This window comes from Homo sapiens, chromosome 10 (assembly GCF_000001405.40).
Source record: "Homo sapiens chromosome 10, GRCh38.p14 Primary Assembly".
Classification (NCBI taxonomy): domain Eukaryota; kingdom Metazoa; phylum Chordata; class Mammalia; order Primates; family Hominidae; genus Homo; species Homo sapiens.
In genome coordinates this window covers 103,985,891-104,003,850 of record NC_000010.11, presented here as the reverse complement: position 1 = coordinate 104,003,850, position 17,960 = coordinate 103,985,891, and the positions used below count along the sequence as shown (strand labels likewise).

The 17,960-nt window shown below is 35.4% G+C and overlaps 1 protein-coding gene across 4 annotated transcripts in view; it reads right to left on the bottom strand.

The window, feature by feature from the left end:
- The window catches only part of SLK (STE20 like kinase), a 62,094-nt gene that overhangs the window by 25,383 nt on the left and 18,751 nt on the right, over nt 1-17,960 (bottom strand). For 2 of the 4 annotated variants that reach the window (NM_014720.4, NM_001304743.2), the window contains exons 2-9: nt 13,012-13,176; nt 11,205-11,253; nt 10,718-10,867; nt 4,880-4,952; nt 4,538-4,732; nt 3,903-3,984; nt 2,279-2,407; nt 324-1,679 (exon numbers count right to left, since the gene is read on the bottom strand). In NM_014720.4, coding sequence (NP_055535.2) covers nt 324-1,679; nt 2,279-2,407; nt 3,903-3,984; nt 4,538-4,732; nt 4,880-4,952; nt 10,718-10,867; nt 11,205-11,253; nt 13,012-13,176 — 2,199 coding nt within the window. The remainder of the gene's footprint in view (nt 1-323; nt 1,680-2,278; nt 2,408-3,902; nt 3,985-4,537; nt 4,733-4,879; nt 4,953-10,717; nt 10,868-11,204; nt 11,254-13,011; nt 13,177-17,960) is intronic. The other 2 variants (XM_011540401.4, XM_047426039.1) reach the window with 1 other exon arrangement.

Genomic DNA, 17,960 nt, shown 5'->3' with positions numbered 1-17,960 from the left:
TCTAATTCTCTCATACATTGTTGATTCTTGCTAATGTTGCATCTAGATATGTCCAATAAAGGAACCTAATCACACCAAGCAACCATATTACACTGTTTATCTGCATCAGGTCTGCAAAAATAGGTAGATCCTACCACAAAATTTAAAGATTAGATCCACAATCTCCTTAGTTCTTTTTAATTGCTTTCATAGGCTGTAAGAATTTATATTGTTAATACTACATTAATTTAATGCTGTTTTATTTTCAAGACATCAATTTCACATAAACTCTGAATTGAGAAAATGGCAAAGGAAAACCCAAACAATGACTCATGTACACTTACTTGTAAAGATATCGATCCACTGTCTTTAGTTTTACTTAGAAAGCTAGAGATGGATAAATTCAAGTCAATACTGCTAGTATCAGCAGTGGAACCAGTGCCTGAATCATTATCATTTTCCTTTGGATTCTCAGATTCTGGTGGCAGAATAGTTTCAGTTTTTGATAAAGAACCTATTTCTTCTTTATTTTCTCCACTGTCAGAGTTGATATTAATACTGGGTATTAGAACAGGCTGAGGTTCAGTGGGCTGTGAAACTACAGTAACTTCAGGCTCTTTTTTAATTGACACTGGAATTTCTTTTTTCTCTTTATCTATCTGAGTAGTGACTTTAGAAGCATCCTGAACTTCACTTCCTAAAGCCTTTTGGTCAGTATCAGCCACCACACTTCTGACCTCCATTTCTTCAGTGCTACTTGACTCAGTGATTTCTTCACCTTCAGTTGTTCCTGGTTCCTCATTGATGTCCATTATGTTCTCTGAACTGTTTATTGCTTGTTCCTTATTTTTACCTTCTTCTATTTCATTCATTTCAACTATTTCTTTAATAGGAACTTCCTTAGTACCACCAGCCTCAGGACCCACCATGGGCTTATTAATTAATTTCTGGCCTACTTCGACCACTTCTTTCCCATCATTACTCTGCGTATCCTCAGCACTGTCTTCATCCACTTTCTGAGCCACATCTGCTGCCTCACATGTTCCTATCACATCACTTGTATTGCTGATCACATCTTTTTGAGTTTTGTCGTCTTCCCCCAATTTCTCTTGGGTGTCTTCCTTTGTAAGCCCAACTTCACTATCAACTGCCTGAATATTTGCCTCTTTTTCTCCAGTCTCTTGAGAAACTAAATCTACTGTTTGCAAAATAGTATCTTTAATTTCTTCAGATTTTATAAGCTTATTTTCAAACATCTGTTGCTTTTCCTGATCCTTTTCTTCCTCAGATTTTAGATTATGTTCAATATTTGTTTCTAAGGTTATCATTATATTATTCTCTTTTCCTTCACTGACTGAATTAATGTCCACAGTTTCTTGGTCTTCTGTGTCAGGCAGATTTTCAAGCTTGGGCCTCTTCTCTCTTTCATTCTCCTTGATTACTGCTGTTCTGTCATGGAGTTCAGTCATTGCTTCTAACTGAGCATCGGTAATATGTTCATTAATATCCTCCACAGCCTTTTCAGGTTCATCAGTGGTGGGTTTTTCATTAAGAATTTTGCTGTTGAGTTTATCTTCAGAGTTACTACGTTCTGTTTTTTCTGAGACAGACTCCAAAATACAAGCATTTTGTGAAAGTTTATCTTCTTCAGAGCTGGCGATACTAAGGTCAGAAGATGCACGCTTACTTGCAGGTATTGGCTAAAAAAGATTTAATGTATTTTTAGTGTTAAAACATGACCTTAGAGTGACCAAAACAATGTTTACAGACCTACAGTGATTTCAGATCTTTATTCAGTAAATGTTGCTGAATTTAAAGAATTAACAATTCTTCTCACAAGAAATATAACAAAAATGGGCCGGGTGCGGTGGCACACACCTGTAATCCCAGCACTTTGGGAGACCGAGGAGGGAAGATCACTTGAGGTCAGGAGTTCGAGACTAGCCTGGCCAACATGGTGAAACCCCATCTCTACTAAAAATACAAAAATTAGTTGGGTGTGGTGGCGCATGCCTGTAGTCCCAGCTACTCGGGAGGCTGAGGCCCAAGAACCACCTGACACCGGGAGGCAGAGGTTGTAGTGACCACTGCACTCCAACCTGGGTGACAGAGTGAGACTCCATCTCAAAAAAAAGGGAAATATAACAAAAATGTGCAGCGACGAGCAACCTTGCTACTAATCTTCAGGTCTAAATTTAAAGGTTTTGCGTTGCCACCCATCAATCCTTAGATACAGGAGCAACTACACCTCAAAACCGAACTCTATTCACTAAATGAAATTTCTTTCCTAAATACTGACCAGAGAATTTTCTGTTTCCTCCTCTTCATCTTCCTCTTTGCCATCTTCAACTTCTTCTGTTACTTCAGCCTTCGCCTCTGCAATCAATTCTCGGATGGGTTTGTTGGAATCAACAGTAACAAAGGGATGCTGTTGATCATTAAAAAGAACATACTCAACAACTGGAATACTACTAAACTAAGTTTCAAACACACACAACACACATTCTTATGTGGTAAAAAATATGAACATGTGGGCAGGAAAATGACAGAAAACTTCAGATAATGCTACATCTGAGAAAGAAAGAGGGGAGAGGGCTTGAGCAAAAGCAGGGACTACCTGCAACTGGATCTGTACATTTTTAAGAATCTGAAGCAAATTTATCAAAAATGATAAGAATTGTTATATCTGGGTAGTAGGTACATGTACTTTCTGTGTGTTTGAAAACTTCGTAATAAAAAATTTTAATTGAAATTTAAAGCAAATGTCAGGTCACTACATTATTACTTTTTTTTTTTTTTTTTTTTTTTTTTTTGAGACGGAGTCTCACTCTATCACTCAGGCTAGAAGGCAGTGGCACGATTTCAACTTACTGCAATCTCCATCTCCCAGGTTCAAGAGATTCTCCTGCCTCAGCCTCCCGAGTAGCTAAGATTACAGGCATGTGCCACCATGCCCGGCTGATTTTTTGTATTTTTAGTAGAGACAGGGTTTCACTATATTGGCCAGGCTGGTCTGGAACTCCTGACCTCAGGTGATCCACCCGCCTCGGCCTCCCAAAGTGCTGGGATTACAGGCATGAGCCACTACACCTGGCCTCATTATTACTTCTTAAAAAGTAACCATCTCTATAAACCCTATCAAAGCCTCAAAATTATAAAAAGCTTTAGAATTCTGTTAGAAGTATCTATAAACACCTGTATTTTTGACATGGTTCTAAAATTCTTGAGAATGAGAAGCCATTTTACTCATCTTTGTATACTCAACATTTAACAGTGTCTGTCGCAGACTAAGGGCTTCAAGTGTGGGGGTAACAAAATAATAATAGAAAGTGTGTTCCAGGGGTATACTTGCTGCACACAACAAAGCAATTTTTTCCTGCTTTATTCCCCCAGATAAATAGGTCAACCTAAAACACTATGATGGAGTTACATAATAACCTAACAGTAATTGCCTCAAGATTTGTCATTTTATTTGCCCACCTATAAAATTGACAATTTTTAATTAATATATTACAAGTAGTCCTTCTATAAAGCAAAATTAAATTTACCCAATCGCTTTAACAACATTTTTTTAAGTCAACAATATTTACTATTTACCCTCACTGTAAGACATTTTTTAATTAATTAGTTCACGGCCCCTGTCCCCAAGGAGCTTGCTTTCTAGTAACTGGAGAGACATAATGGAAATAACTACCAAAATGAAAAGAACATAATTAAACTGAATCAAAAAAGCACAGGAGGAATAACGTTTAAGCTAAATGCCTGATGGTAACAGCAGCATTTATTTTGTAAAGCAAATGTTAACTACTGCCATTTTGACTCTCCACAGGGAAATTTAAGTGGAAAGAAAGCACACTGAATATGAAATTACATTCTTAGATGTTAAAATAATTATATTATTTGCTGTTGTCATACTCTCTTACCTGCAGCAGCTGAGATGTAGTCCACCTGGCATCCACATTCTTTTCTAAGCATTTCTTTAGAAAGTCCTTAAAATTTGAAGACCTTTAAAATAAATTTTAACAACATTCTATTTTACTTTCTTGTTAATCAAATTAAACAAAACTCTTTGATAAGTTATGCTTAAGTTTCATTATGTATGTAATAGTATTAATTCAACATTTAAATAACTAGTTAATGAGACTATTAAGATTTTGTAAAACTTATTCATCTGTAAATACATGTTAGACATATATGTAAGTAGGTACATAATCACTGAGACAGCCATATACTCACAAGTATGCCAAAAAGCACAAAATTTCTAATAAATTTCACAAATATAGATCAATCTATATACCTCACTTCCTCATAGTACAGAAAATACCTTTCTCATGCAAAACTCAAATCATTCATATTTTCAGATATATGGGAAAAGTGAGCTCGAAGAGTTTTAATGGTCTTTAAGAGAAATATACCAAAAATCACTTTTCTAATTCATATAGTCTTCGAACCATGTATCCAATTTTAAATACTCTTGGAAAATTGTGAGAATATAACATCAAGTTCTGCTTCCTAGTATCATTTGTTTCTTATTAAGCTTTTTTAAGAATATTTTTACCATCTGGATGGCTGTGCTAATGTAGGTGGCTCAGATTTTGCTATTTTTAGCAGCACTCGCATTGGATTTAATTCATGATGAGGTGGTTCTATCTCAGCCATTTCTATTAAAGTGATACCCAGGGACCAAACATCAGCTTTGTAGTCATAGGGTCTGTCCTTAGATGTTTCACACATGACTACTTCAGGAGCCATCCTATGAAGACAGATAATTAAAAGTTAACATGTTTAAGAACAGTGATTGCAAAACACATGGTATAATCAATTATGTGGACAAAAATTCATGAGTAATTATAACTGCTGACATGACTAATACTATAAATTCATAAAACTGAATACATACCAATATGGTGTACCAATAAAGGAATCTCTTCTTTGAATTGTCCTCGTGTTTTTAGCTGATACTCCAAAATCCGCTTGAAATAATCACACAAAAGCATTAATGAGAACTTTTAAGCATTGTTCATTGTATTCAATGGGGAGAAAAAGCATTTTAAGTCTTTAATAAGGCTAATCTTATTATAAAAAGTAAGTTAAACAGAAAGAAAAAGATGTCTCTCCCATCTTAATCTTGACCATCTCTTTCTACCATCTCCCAAAAAAACCTGCTAAAGATCCCATTATCAATACATTTAATACCACCTTATCTTCAGATGACAAATCCTCCAAAATTGAAAATAAAAAATGGTAACTCTAAAAGCAGACCAGTCTATCCACTTCAAAATAAATGCCAACTAGTGCTATGTGGCACAATTAAACTAAGAGTCATTAACATTTTTTCTATAGTGTGAAAAATAGAAATTATACTAAAGCAACCTTTAGGACAGTGTATGTCTTGCTAAATTCCTCATAAAATTATATTGTCAAGAAAAAATTGGGAACCTTATGTTTTCTGATTTAAATTATACAGAACAGTAACATTATAGCTTTTTCAGTTGTTAATCCCACCTTTTCAGCCTGGAGTTCACACAACATTAACAGCAACATAAAACTGCTATTGCTGCATAATTCACCTCATGCTATAAATGCACGAATTTTTAAGTTTCACATTTGATGCGACAATTCTCAAAGTTGAATAAGTACCAAAAATTCAGTATTTGATGCTCATGCCTACCACAGAGTATACACTCAATAAATGGTAGCTATTATTAGCCATATTCACAATTCTAACCTTTGTTGTTTTTGTTGTAGAACTCTTAAAGGTCATGCAATTCTGCCTGAATTACTTTTATCTATTATATGGTTCTTGGGGATAAGATTGTTCTATATATCTGTGTTGCAGAAATGGAAGGTTCTCTGGAAGTATTTGTAAATTAAACAGAAATTACAAATATTTTAATTGTCAACTAACTAAATATTATTTTACAATTCCTAAACCTTCAGTATATTGATAAGGTACACATTATTTTACACAAGTATGTCCCTATATTCAAATAAAATTTCAATATATTTACAAAAAAAATGCCCCCAAAATTGATCAAAACTGTAACATCCTATTTCAAAATAAGCTAGGACACTTTTAAAAATGATGAAAAACATAAAAGAGCCATGTAAGTCAGAATTAGAAAAATTCTGAAAGGCGACAGAGCTCCAGAAAAAATTTAAAATAAAAAAGAAAAACTTTAGAAACAAAGGCTAAACTAGGGAAAGCAAGAGCAAATAATACAACAAATTCATACCCATTACCGCTTCACACCCAGTAGGATGGATGTAGCATAGAAAAAAAAAAAGTGTTGACAAGCATGCGGAGAAACTGGAAGCCTTGTACATTTCCGTTAGAAATGTAAAATGGTGCAGTTGCTATGGAGAACAGCATGGTGGTCCCTCAAAAAAATTAAACATAGAATTACCATATGATTCAGCAATTCCACTTCTGGGTGCATACTCAAAAGAATTAAAAGCAGGGAGTAGGACAGACATTTGTACACCAACATTCATAGCAGTATTATTCACAATAGCCAAAAAGTGAAAGCAACCCAAGTGCCCACTGATGGATGAACGGATAAACAAAATGTGTTATATACATACAATGGCATATTATTCAATCTTAAAAGGGGAAGACTTGAAATACGCTACAACGTGGATGAACCTTGAGAACGTTATGGTAAGTAAAATACGCCAGTCACAAAAGGACAAATGTTGTATGATTCCACATACGTATATACCTAGAGTGGTCAAAATCATAGAAACTGAAAGCAGAATGGTGGTTGCCAGAAGCTGGGAGGAGTGGAAAATGGGGACTAACTGTTTAATGGGTATAGACTTTAACTGCTGCAAGATGAAAAGAGGTATGGAGATAGGTGATGGTAATGGTTGTATAATAATGGGAATGTACTTAATACCACAGAAATGTACACTTAAAAATGATCAAAAAGGTAAATTTTATGTTGTATATATTTTCCTACGATAAAAAAGAAAGCAAGCTAAAAAAGGACTTGAGAAAAAGTTACAAACATGGACAACAGGCAAAGATCCAACAAACAAATACTAAAAGTCTCTAAAGAAGCAAGTCAATGCAAGGGAACAAACAAATGCTCAGATCTATAACTCCAGAAAACTTTCCTGTCGGGGGCGGGGAAGAAAGCACTCGAATATTGTACGAGCATAATATTTATTAGAAGGCCGGGCACGGTGGCTCACACCAATCCCAGCACTTTGGGAGGCTGAGGCGGGTGGATCACGAGGTCAGGAGATCAAGACCATCTTGGCTAACACGGTGAAACCCCGTCTCTACGAAAAATACAAAAAATTAGCTGGGCGTGGTGACGGGCGCCTGTAGTCCCAGCTACTCGGGAGGCTGAGGCAGGAGAATGGCGTGAACCCGGGAGGCAGAGCTTGCAGTGAGCCGAGATAGCGCCACTGCAGTCCGGCCTGGGTGAAAGAGCAAGACTCCGTCTCAAAAAAAAAAAAAAAAGAAAAGAAAAAAAATATTTATTAGAAAAGACTGGTCAAACTACTGGTCTTAAAAAAAAAAAAAAACTTTTAGCATCTAAGCAAAAAGAGCACATGACTTACAATGAAGAAATTCAGATTATCAGACTTTTCAACAACAACACTTCATGACTGAAGAAAACAGAGTAACATATTTCAGATGCTGAAGGAAAGAAATTTGTGCCAAGGATTTGTTATCCAGCAAAACTAACCTTCAACTATAAGGGTACAACTGTTATCACTATGTAAGAATTCAGAGAGCCCTTTCAGAGGAATCTACCAAAAGCTGAGCTTCAGATAACCAACATCACCAAAGACACATCAACATAAGGAGTGGTGGTGAGCATTAAATATAGAAATGAGGGTTAAAATGAATTATGAGGTATCCTAAACCTATCAATGTCCTTGAGAACCAGAACTCTCAACATAGAAGAAAGGAGATGCACATTTATTACAGAGGTTAGATTTTAAAAACCTTTATCCTGAATTTGAATAGGAAATATATATGAACTCATGAGGGTTCTAGCTCTGTCCTTTGAAAAGTCCTAGAACAATGGCCAATATAGAAAACTGCAAGCATCTCTTACACCAGACTGTGGTCTTGAAATACTATATTCTACTAAAAGAAACCAGGGCTTCTTAAAGAAATGGCTAATTACACTGGGTGCAGTGGCTCACACCTGTAATTCCAGCACTTTGGGAGGCTGAAGTGGGCAGATCACTTCTGGCCAGGAGTTCCAGACCAGCCCGGTCAACATGGTGAAACCCCATCTCTACTAAAAAACAAAAATTAGCTGGGCATGGTGGTACATGCCTGTAATCCTAGCTACTCAGGAGGCTGAGGCACAAGAATCCCTTGAACCCAGGAGGTGGGGGTTGCAGTGAGCTGAGATCAGCCACTGCACTCCAACCTGGGCAACAGAGCAAGACTTTGACTCAAAAAAAAAAAAAAAAAAAAAAGAAAAGAAAGAAAAGAAAAAAGAAATGGTTAATTACAGGTCTGACACAGGAAATACACAGATGAGCCTGAAACATCTCAGAACTGTCAAGTAAGCTATCAAAGATTACTAGTGCTGTCAAGAAGACCAACAAGCAGACACGAGGAAGACCCCACTGACTAAAGATGGAACAACATGAGCTTCAATAAGAATAAAAACTGCAATGGATTTGAAACCAACCAAATAAAATTAAATCCATGAACTAACAATATTTTTTAAAACACTGGTCATCAATTGAGGATAAGAGACAGCCAAGTCATTATCTTCATTACTAATTTTATAATGAATGAAAATAATGAAATAATTGGTGTTTATATCAAAATCATTATCGAAAATAATGAAAACAAAATAATGGAATTCGTTTTGCAACCCCAAAAGACAGAGGTGTAGGCATTAAGCCTCAATAGATGCAACATCAAAAAAGGGCACAAAGCAGACACGGTGTGCCTCCCAATGAAAGAATGCAAAACCACCTGTAAGTCTTGCCAAAGGATCAGGCTTGAGACTGATCAAGCCTTTGGATTCATCTGCCAAACTGAAGGAAATACAGAAAGGAACTTCAATCATCAGGAGTATGCAATAGCAAAATGCAGTTTGAGGGAAACACAACAGGCCAAACAGCCCAGGTTCCATGGATCAGTGTTTCATTACTAGCCCCTCTAAGGAGTCATTTTAAACATTTTTTTCACATCATCCCTCCTCCCATAAAATTTTAATGCCATAGATACAGTGTTATATCTCTTCATGTACTGGGGCCTTTGGAAGGTCACAAACCATTGTAATGCATAAGGTTTTTTTTTGGCCCTAAAGAACTAATTTTTGCACCCATGTGGGTGATATTGCCCTCATCCCCCATTACACATGCCATAATATAAAGAAAAGAAAGGAATGGGGGAAGGCCTGTAAGTTAAGAGACTTTAAAAACCCAAGTTTTATATGAGCAAGTTTAAACCCTAACATCTAGAGATGAATACTGGGTGACTAAGCCATAAAGAAACACAAGGAAGGAAATAATATAAAAGTCAGGATAAAATGTGGAGAAGAGAAGGGCAGTGGCTGAGATGGGCATACGGAAGAGCTTCTGGGATGCCTGTCAAAGTTCTACTTTTTGATCTAGGTAGTGATTACAAAGCTATGTCTACAAAGTACTAAACTTAAGCTACACAATTTCTGGTGTGGTTTTCTATATCTGTAATTTTTCACAATCAAAAGGTTAAAATTCACTTCAGGAGGCCCAAGGCAGAAGAATCACTTGCACCCAGGAATTCAAGACCAGTCTGGTCAACAGAGCAAGACCTCATCTCTACAAAAAAATTTTTAAAAATTCGCCAGGCGTGGTGGTGCATGCCTGCAGTTCCAGCTACTAGGGAGGATAAGGTGGAAGGATCCCTGGAGCCCAGGGGTTCAAGGCTGCAGTAAACTATGATCACATCACTGCACTCCAGCCTAAGCAACAGAGCAAGACTCCGTTAAAAAAAAATTAAAAAGAATAAAATTTAGTACACCATCTGTTTAAATGTCTTGACAAAGTAAAGTGAAATGACTATAGTCACTGGTATCAACTTGACTTCTGAATATATTTTGTCCTTTGAATAGCCTTCCAAAATATACAAATTTGGACTTCATCTCTAGACTTTTTAAATAATTCCTATCTTGGGTAAAGAGCGCTATAACTTTCATAAGACCTACATCTAATTCTTCTTATGAAGGTAACATTTCTTCCCTCAGTATAAAGAGTAAAATTAAAAATTCTAGTCCTTACGTTTAGGTATTCTCTTCAGAACTAAGATTACTTTGTTAGTTTAGTCAACGTACCATATCAATAAAATAGAATATAAAACTAAACATGGGGAAAAACTCACTAGACATGAACTTTGGAAATAAAGAAAAAACTGAGTTAGCAGTTTTACATACTATATTATATTCTAAACATAAAACATTTACAAGTATTAAGTCTACGTACAAAAATTTAAGGGTACAAACTTGAAATTGGTCTTTAAAAAGCATGCCTTTTTGAAAATAAAAATTCATTCTTTCTTATCTTCTTTTTAAAGCATTCAATTAGGTGCTGATATTTAGAAATTATAGAAAAATGAGTATTTACCTAAAAAAGTGTTTTTTAAAAACCAGCATGGAGTTAGTTCTCCATGTTTCACATATTTAAGTAGTAATAAAACCACATTAAGTCACATACATAAAGATGGAAATTTCAGAGTAAAAATTCTAATGTTTTATTTAAGTGAATAACTTACCCAATTTGATATCTCCATCTAAGGTAAAGAGAATGTTGCCAGCCTTCAGATCTCTGTGGATGATCTTATTATCATGTAAGTAGTTCAATGCATCTAAAGTCTGCTTGCAAACTACTTGTATTTGGGACTCAGTTAATGGTCTCTCAAGTTCTATAAGGAGAAAGTAAAAAAAAAAATCTGCTTTTTATACAGTGAAAACATATTAGCAGGCTATATACCTTTCTGTATATATCATCACTGTCAAAGATCATATGCAGGGAATTTATTTTAAAAGAACTATATCTACAAAGATCACATTCTTGACACACTCAACATTTCATTTTAGAATTTTACTATAATTATCCAAGAATATAAAAACATACTTGAGTTAACTTACTGAACTTTACTCGATACTTACATATTTGAATATATTTATATATGGTTGAAATTCTTTCATCTTATCAAGTATAATTTAAGATATGAACAGAAAGAACAAAAAGGTATTTACCAAGCATCACAGCATCTACTGCTCCACCTGCACAAAATTCAATGAGGATCTGCATGCAAAAAAAAAAAAAAAAGCGTGTGTCTAAAACTACATGGAGTTTTGAGTTTCAGTATTTTTTCTTCAGCTTAGCAAAAAAGATAAAGAAATAGCTATCAAATAATCTGGTTATGGAAACGATATACTAAACGAAGATTTTGTCAAAAGAGTTACAAATCTCAAACAATATGCATTTGATAAAGCCCACTGTGAAAGCATGGGCATTTTTGTTAATTGCCATGTTTACTGTCCCTGCTTCTCTACAACTACCAGGTACAGAACTTTTTCATTTGGTATTGTACTGCACAGCTATTTGGTCACCAATGAAAGATTTTATTACTTATATTTTTAAGGCAACTTGTGCTTTAAGTGAACAAATATACATTTGTTTTTTTAAACTGTATTAAATAGGAATAAATCCTGAAAATATTTATACAGAGACTTCTTTTAGAAAAAAAAAAAAAAAAAACAGAAGAAATACCCACAAAAGCTTCAGATCCGAGCTCAATTATTACCTGCTGATAGGTGCTTATCTTGACTTCCCTGGTAAGACATAACACCATGTACCTTTCCTTCTTAACCCTTACCACAGTTGTAATTTTATATTTATTGTGATTATTTGATTAATTAACATTTATGTCTCCCACTAAACTTCCCCTCACAGTTGTCTAAATTTTTATTGTGCAATAGTCCCAAGTAAAGGTCTTATCTGTTTATTAACTAGTCTATGGGTTCATTTGCATTATAATCTTTGGAAACATTCTGCGACAGCCCTGAACAATAATTTCAGAAAACACCACATTAATAATAACTATAATTTTAAAAAATAACATATTTTTAACTAATTAGGTAGCTTCCTGCCTTTTTTCCCTCAGCATAATGCTTTATTTTTTTTTACAAGTGCTTGCCAATTAGAAATTGTTTTCAAATTCATTACATTATTCAGAAAATAATTTGGGAGGTAGATCATTACTCATCCTACAGATGAGTAAACAGACTCATAAAAGTTAACTGACTTATCCAAGTTCCGTAAGTGGCAGCACTGGGATAAAAAAATATAGACCTTTAGGCATCCAGTCAGGTATTCCTTATACTACTTACTCTTCTCTCTCATAAAACTTTGCTTCTTCCTTCAGGAAGAAAGACTGAAGCTGCATTTTAAAAAGTCCTCTTGATTAAACTAATGTTGGTACAGAACAAGTGATTGACAGATTATTATAATGAATATGAAAGTTTTATTTCTATATCTACTTGTACCTTAATATTTTCTGAAAATGAATAAAATTTATACATACAGCTTTAGCCATCACATCATGCACTAAAGTTGAACCTGATAATACGATAAATATTTAACATTTCTAGTATTTTACAGTTTATTACAAGATTTACAAAAAGTTTAGGATAAAAAATTATAAACAATTTCTAAGAGAAACTTTTAAAACTTTTAAATGATTAAATTTAAATTATAAACAAGGACATCTAATTTCATATTTTAGGAAATTTATTATTCTTAACCAAATTTTTCCACCTGGATCCAATGTCAAACAATCATGATGAAACTGTACAATCTGAAACATAAATCTGAACATCTGTTGAAGCTGAGAATAACTTTGTTATTACTCTCTTATCAGCAGATCAACTCTCATTCAAGTGACACAAGTAACTAAATAGAAGAGATAAGACATAAAATAGGTTTTAATAATTCATAAACATCTCTTTAGGACAATTAACTCATTTTGGCTACTCCTTTAGATCAACAGAAAATACTTACCCAAAGATTGTTCTCATAATAGAAGGCATCTAGAAGCTTGACTATATTTGGGTGATCACAAGATGCTAATATGTCAATCTCTACCATGTAATCTTCAAGTTCTTCTTCAGATTTAGTGTCAATCACTTTTGCAGCAGCTAAAACACTGGTCTCTTTATTCTGGGCCTGAAAATGAAAGTATCAGAAGTGTCACATTTCAAATGCATCATTTTCTAATTTTTTATTATTTTAATAGATTTTAAGTTTTAATTCATATTTAATTCATATTTACGTTTAGGCTGTCTTTTAAAAATAGTGTGTCAAGAGAATGAGAAGACAAGCCACAGACTGAGAAAATATTTGCAAGACACATATTTGATAAAGGAAAGTTTTAGGTTCACAGCAAAATTGCGTGGAAAGTACAGAAAGTTCCCTCGTGCTCCATGCATAACCACCCCCCCATCAACACTGCACACCAGAGTGATACATCTGTTGCTATGATGAACCTACATTAACACATCATTATCACCCAAGTCCAAAGTTTACATTACAGTTTGCTCTTGCATCTATGGGTTTCAACAAATGTATAATGACATGTAGCCCTCGTTATAATATCATACAGAATAGTTTCACTGCCCTAAAAATCCTCTGTGCTCTGCCTACTCATCCCCTCCTTCCTCCAACCCCTGGCAACCACTGATCTTTTTACTGCATCCATAGTTTTGCTTTTGCTTTTTCTGGAATGTCATATACTTGGAATCAGAGTATGTATAGACCTTTCTGTTTAGCTTCTTTCACTTAGTAATATGTATTTACAGTTCCTTAATGTTTTCATGGCTTAATAACTCATTTCTTTTTAGCACTGAATAATATTCTATTGTCTAGTTATACCACAGTTTATCCATTGACTTACTTAAGGATATGTTGGTTGTTTCCAAGTTTTGGCAATTATGGATAAAGCTTCTATAAACATGTATGTGCGGGTTTCTGTGTAGACATGTTTTTCAACTCATTTGGGTAATAAACAAGGAGTACAACTGCTGGATCATATCGTAAGAGTATGTTTAGTTTTTTAAGAAACTGCCAAATTGTTGGCCGGGCGCGGTGGCTCACGCCTGTAATCCCAGCACTTTGGGAGGCCGAGGCAGGCAGATCACGAAGTCAGGAGATCGAGACCATCCTGGCTAACATGGTGAAACCCCGTCTCTACTAAAAATACAAAAAATTAGCCAGGCGTGGTGTCGGGCACCTGTAGTCCCAGCTACTCGGGAGGCTGAGGCAGGAGAATGGCATGAACCTGGGAGGTGGAGCTTGCAGTGAGCCGAAATTGCGCCACTGCACTCCAGTCTGGGTGACAGAGCAAGACTCTGTCTCCAAAAAAAAAAAAAAAAAAAAAGAAACTGCCACACTGTCTTCCAAAATGGCTGAAAGAGTCTGCATACACACCAGCAATGAATGAGTTCCTGTTGCTCCACATCCTCACCAGCATTTGGGGTTGCCAGCAAGCATGGGTTTCACCAGTCTAACAGCTACATAGTAGTACTTGTATCTTTTCAATTTACAATTCCCTGATGACATATGATGTCGAGCATCTTTTCATATACTTATTTGTCAAATCTTTGGTGAGATGTCTGTTCAAATCTTTTGACCATTTTTTAACTGGGCTGTTCATTTTCTAATTGTTAAGTTTTAGGAGTTATTTGCATATTCTGGATAACTTTCCTTTATCAAATATGTGTCTTGCAAATATTTTCTCAGTCTGTGGCTTGTCTTCTCATTCTCTTGACACACTATTTATAAAAGACAGCCTAAACATAAATATGAATTAATGCATGCTATGGCTATGCACTGTGCTAAGGGCTTCATATACATAGGGGACAGCATTTCAAATCACAGCCTCTGGTGGGTCAGACTGCTGGATTTAAATTCTGGTTTTGCCACTTATTAGCTGTGTTGCTTGGGGCAATTTACAAAATCCCTCTTTTAGTCTCCTCATCAGTAAAAATTATCTACATCTCACAAGTTCATGAGAATTAAGATAACATATATCTGCCAAGTAAAAAAAAAAACCACATATAAACATTTAATATACTATCTGGCATATATAGAAGGATTCAAAAATGTTAGCTGTAATTACTATTACTATTTAATCTTCACAACAACCCCATGATATATTATTACCTCTACTTTAAAGGAGGATATAAATGAGCTTTGAGGGGTTAAAAGGCTTTCCCAGGTCATGTAGCTAGTAAGAAGCAGAAACAGAATTTAAATCCAGGTCTGTTTCCAAAGCCCTTTCTGCTGGAGGTTGAAACCCATTTATGCCGGAGGTTGCAAATTTTTGTGTGTGAAATTAACCCATTTATGCTAGAGGTTGCAAATTTTTTTTGTGAAAAATCAGACCTTGGCAATTACCTTGGGCAGTAGGATATAAATAACCCCCACAAGCTTAGCGTTCCGTTAATGGAACACTAGGCATAATCATTACCCGTGAAGGGTGGCAGAATACACCACTTCAAACATGCCACTCTGACATAAGGATCACTTTGAGTTTGAAAGGCACTTGAAAAATAGCAGATGCAAGAAGGGCATTCTAATCTTCCACCTTTTCTTCCTGAAACTAGGAGATGAAAATGTTCCTGTAAAAGACGTCTTCTCTATCCCAGGAGAAAAGAAACATTCTTTGATAGGGAGTCACAGTCAAGAGAATTGTGTACAAACAGACCTTGTTAAATTAAACATCTTCCTTTAGCCTCCCCATATAACATATCTACTTTTCTACAATCGCCTCTCTTCTTTCAACCTAACACAAAAGCATGTAGGTTTTGCCATTTCTCTATGACTTCATTTTCTTTTGAGGGCTCCCATGTCACATAAAACTTATATTAAATGTCTATGCTTTTCTCCTCTACTCTATCTTGTGTCAGTTTAATTCTCGGGCCCAGCAGGGACGCTAAGAGGGTGGAGGCAAAGTTTTGCCTCCTCTATACCCTTTCCAGTCTCCCCATATTTCTATCATTTGGTCATTTTTCCTTGTTCTTAGTACTTTAACTTTCTCGTTTTCCTTCTTTGGTTAACTTCTCACCATCATTTATTATAAATGAAAGGTTTCCAAATATGTAGTAGATACTAGGATCATTTTTAACGTTAGGAATCAGATCTTAAAATGCTAACTAGGTTGTTTTTATAAGACATTTCACTATGATGTATATTAACATCACTTCAGCAAAACTCCACTTATTACATTAAAAACAGATACTAAATTTTTTAAAGTTAATAAATGTTTCAATAAATAAATGTCTAAATCTCACTTTTAAGAATTTATCAGAAGGAGATAATTTCATAAAATAAAATTCATGCACATACAAAAATACTCATCAAAGCACCATTTGCAATAGTGAAAAAGTGAATCAGCCTAAATGTCACTTAACAGGAACCTGCTTAAATCATGCAGTACAGTTCTACAATGAAAAATGACGCAGCCACTAAAATTAATTGACTGATGTCCTGGAGATTTTAAAGATGTATCTTTTATACTTGTGAATGGGCTGGCATGAAGGAAGAAAAATAACTCACACTAGATAACCTCTAAAATTCCTCACAGTAACAAATTCTGTCATATATTGATTATACCAACAATGATATCATTTGGTTTAATATAAATAATAAAAGTTACATTAAAAGAATAGTGCCTCAAATTATTGCTTGAAAATAACATGATTACTCATCAGGATCTAGTTCTAAAAAACTTTAAAAAAACAAAACTGAAATAAATATTTACAAGTGTGTGACACTATTCTCTACACTAATATAACTGGGACATAAAGTATTTTTAAAAAAGAGCTTATCTACCTAATATCTAAAGGCATAAAAACTCTTCACATAGGCCAGGCGTGGTGGCTCATGCCTGTAATCCCAGCACTTTGGGAGGCCAAGGCGGGCGGATCACAAGGTCAGGAGTTCAAGACCAGCCTGGCCAACATGGTGAAACCCCATTCCTACTAAAAATACAAAATTAACCAGGCATGGTGGCGGATGCCTGTAATCCCAACTACTTGGGAGCCTGAGGCAGCAGAATTGCTTGAACCCAGGAGATAGAGGTTGCAGTGAGCCGAGATCGTGCCATTGCACTCCAGCCTGGGCAACAGACCAAGACTCTGTCTCAGGGAAAAAAAAAAAAAAAAAAAAAAAACTCTTCACATAAAGGCTTAATGAAATAACTAAACCCGGGGTTCCCCAACCACAGGGCCACAAACCAGTACCAGTCCACGGCCTGTTAGGAACCAGGCCGCATAGCAGGAGATGAGCAGCAGGCAAGTAAGCAAAGCTTCATCTGTATTCAGAGCCACTCCCCATTGCTCACAATACCACCTGAGCTCTGTCTCCTGTCAGATGAGCAGCAGCATTAGCTTCTCAGAGGAGCATGAACTCTATCGTGAACTGTGAACCCTATTGTGAACTGCGTATGTGAGGGATCTAGGTTGTGTGCTCCTTATGAGAATCTAACGCCTGATGATCTGTCACTGTCTCCCATCAGCCCAAGATGGGAACATTTAGTTGCAGGAAAACAAGCTCAGAGCTCCCACTAATTCTATATTATGGTGAGTTGTGTAATTATTTCATTATATATTACAATGTAGTAATAATACAAACAAAGTATACAATAAACATAACACACTTGAATTATCCCCAAAACATCCCCGCATCCAGTCTGTGGAAAAGTTGTCTTCCATGAAACCAGTCCCTGGTGCCAAAGAGGATGGGCACTACTGAACTAAACAAATGTTAAAAACAAAAATGGAATAACAAATCCCAATCTTAATTTAAAAATATAACTTCTGTTGATAAAAAGATTTCAAATATCAGTCATGATCACCTAAAATCACTGTTTTTATTTTCATGAATCATCAGTAGAGCTTGGCCACATTACATAAACAAATGAGGGATACTGGGAAACATAAGTTGTCTGA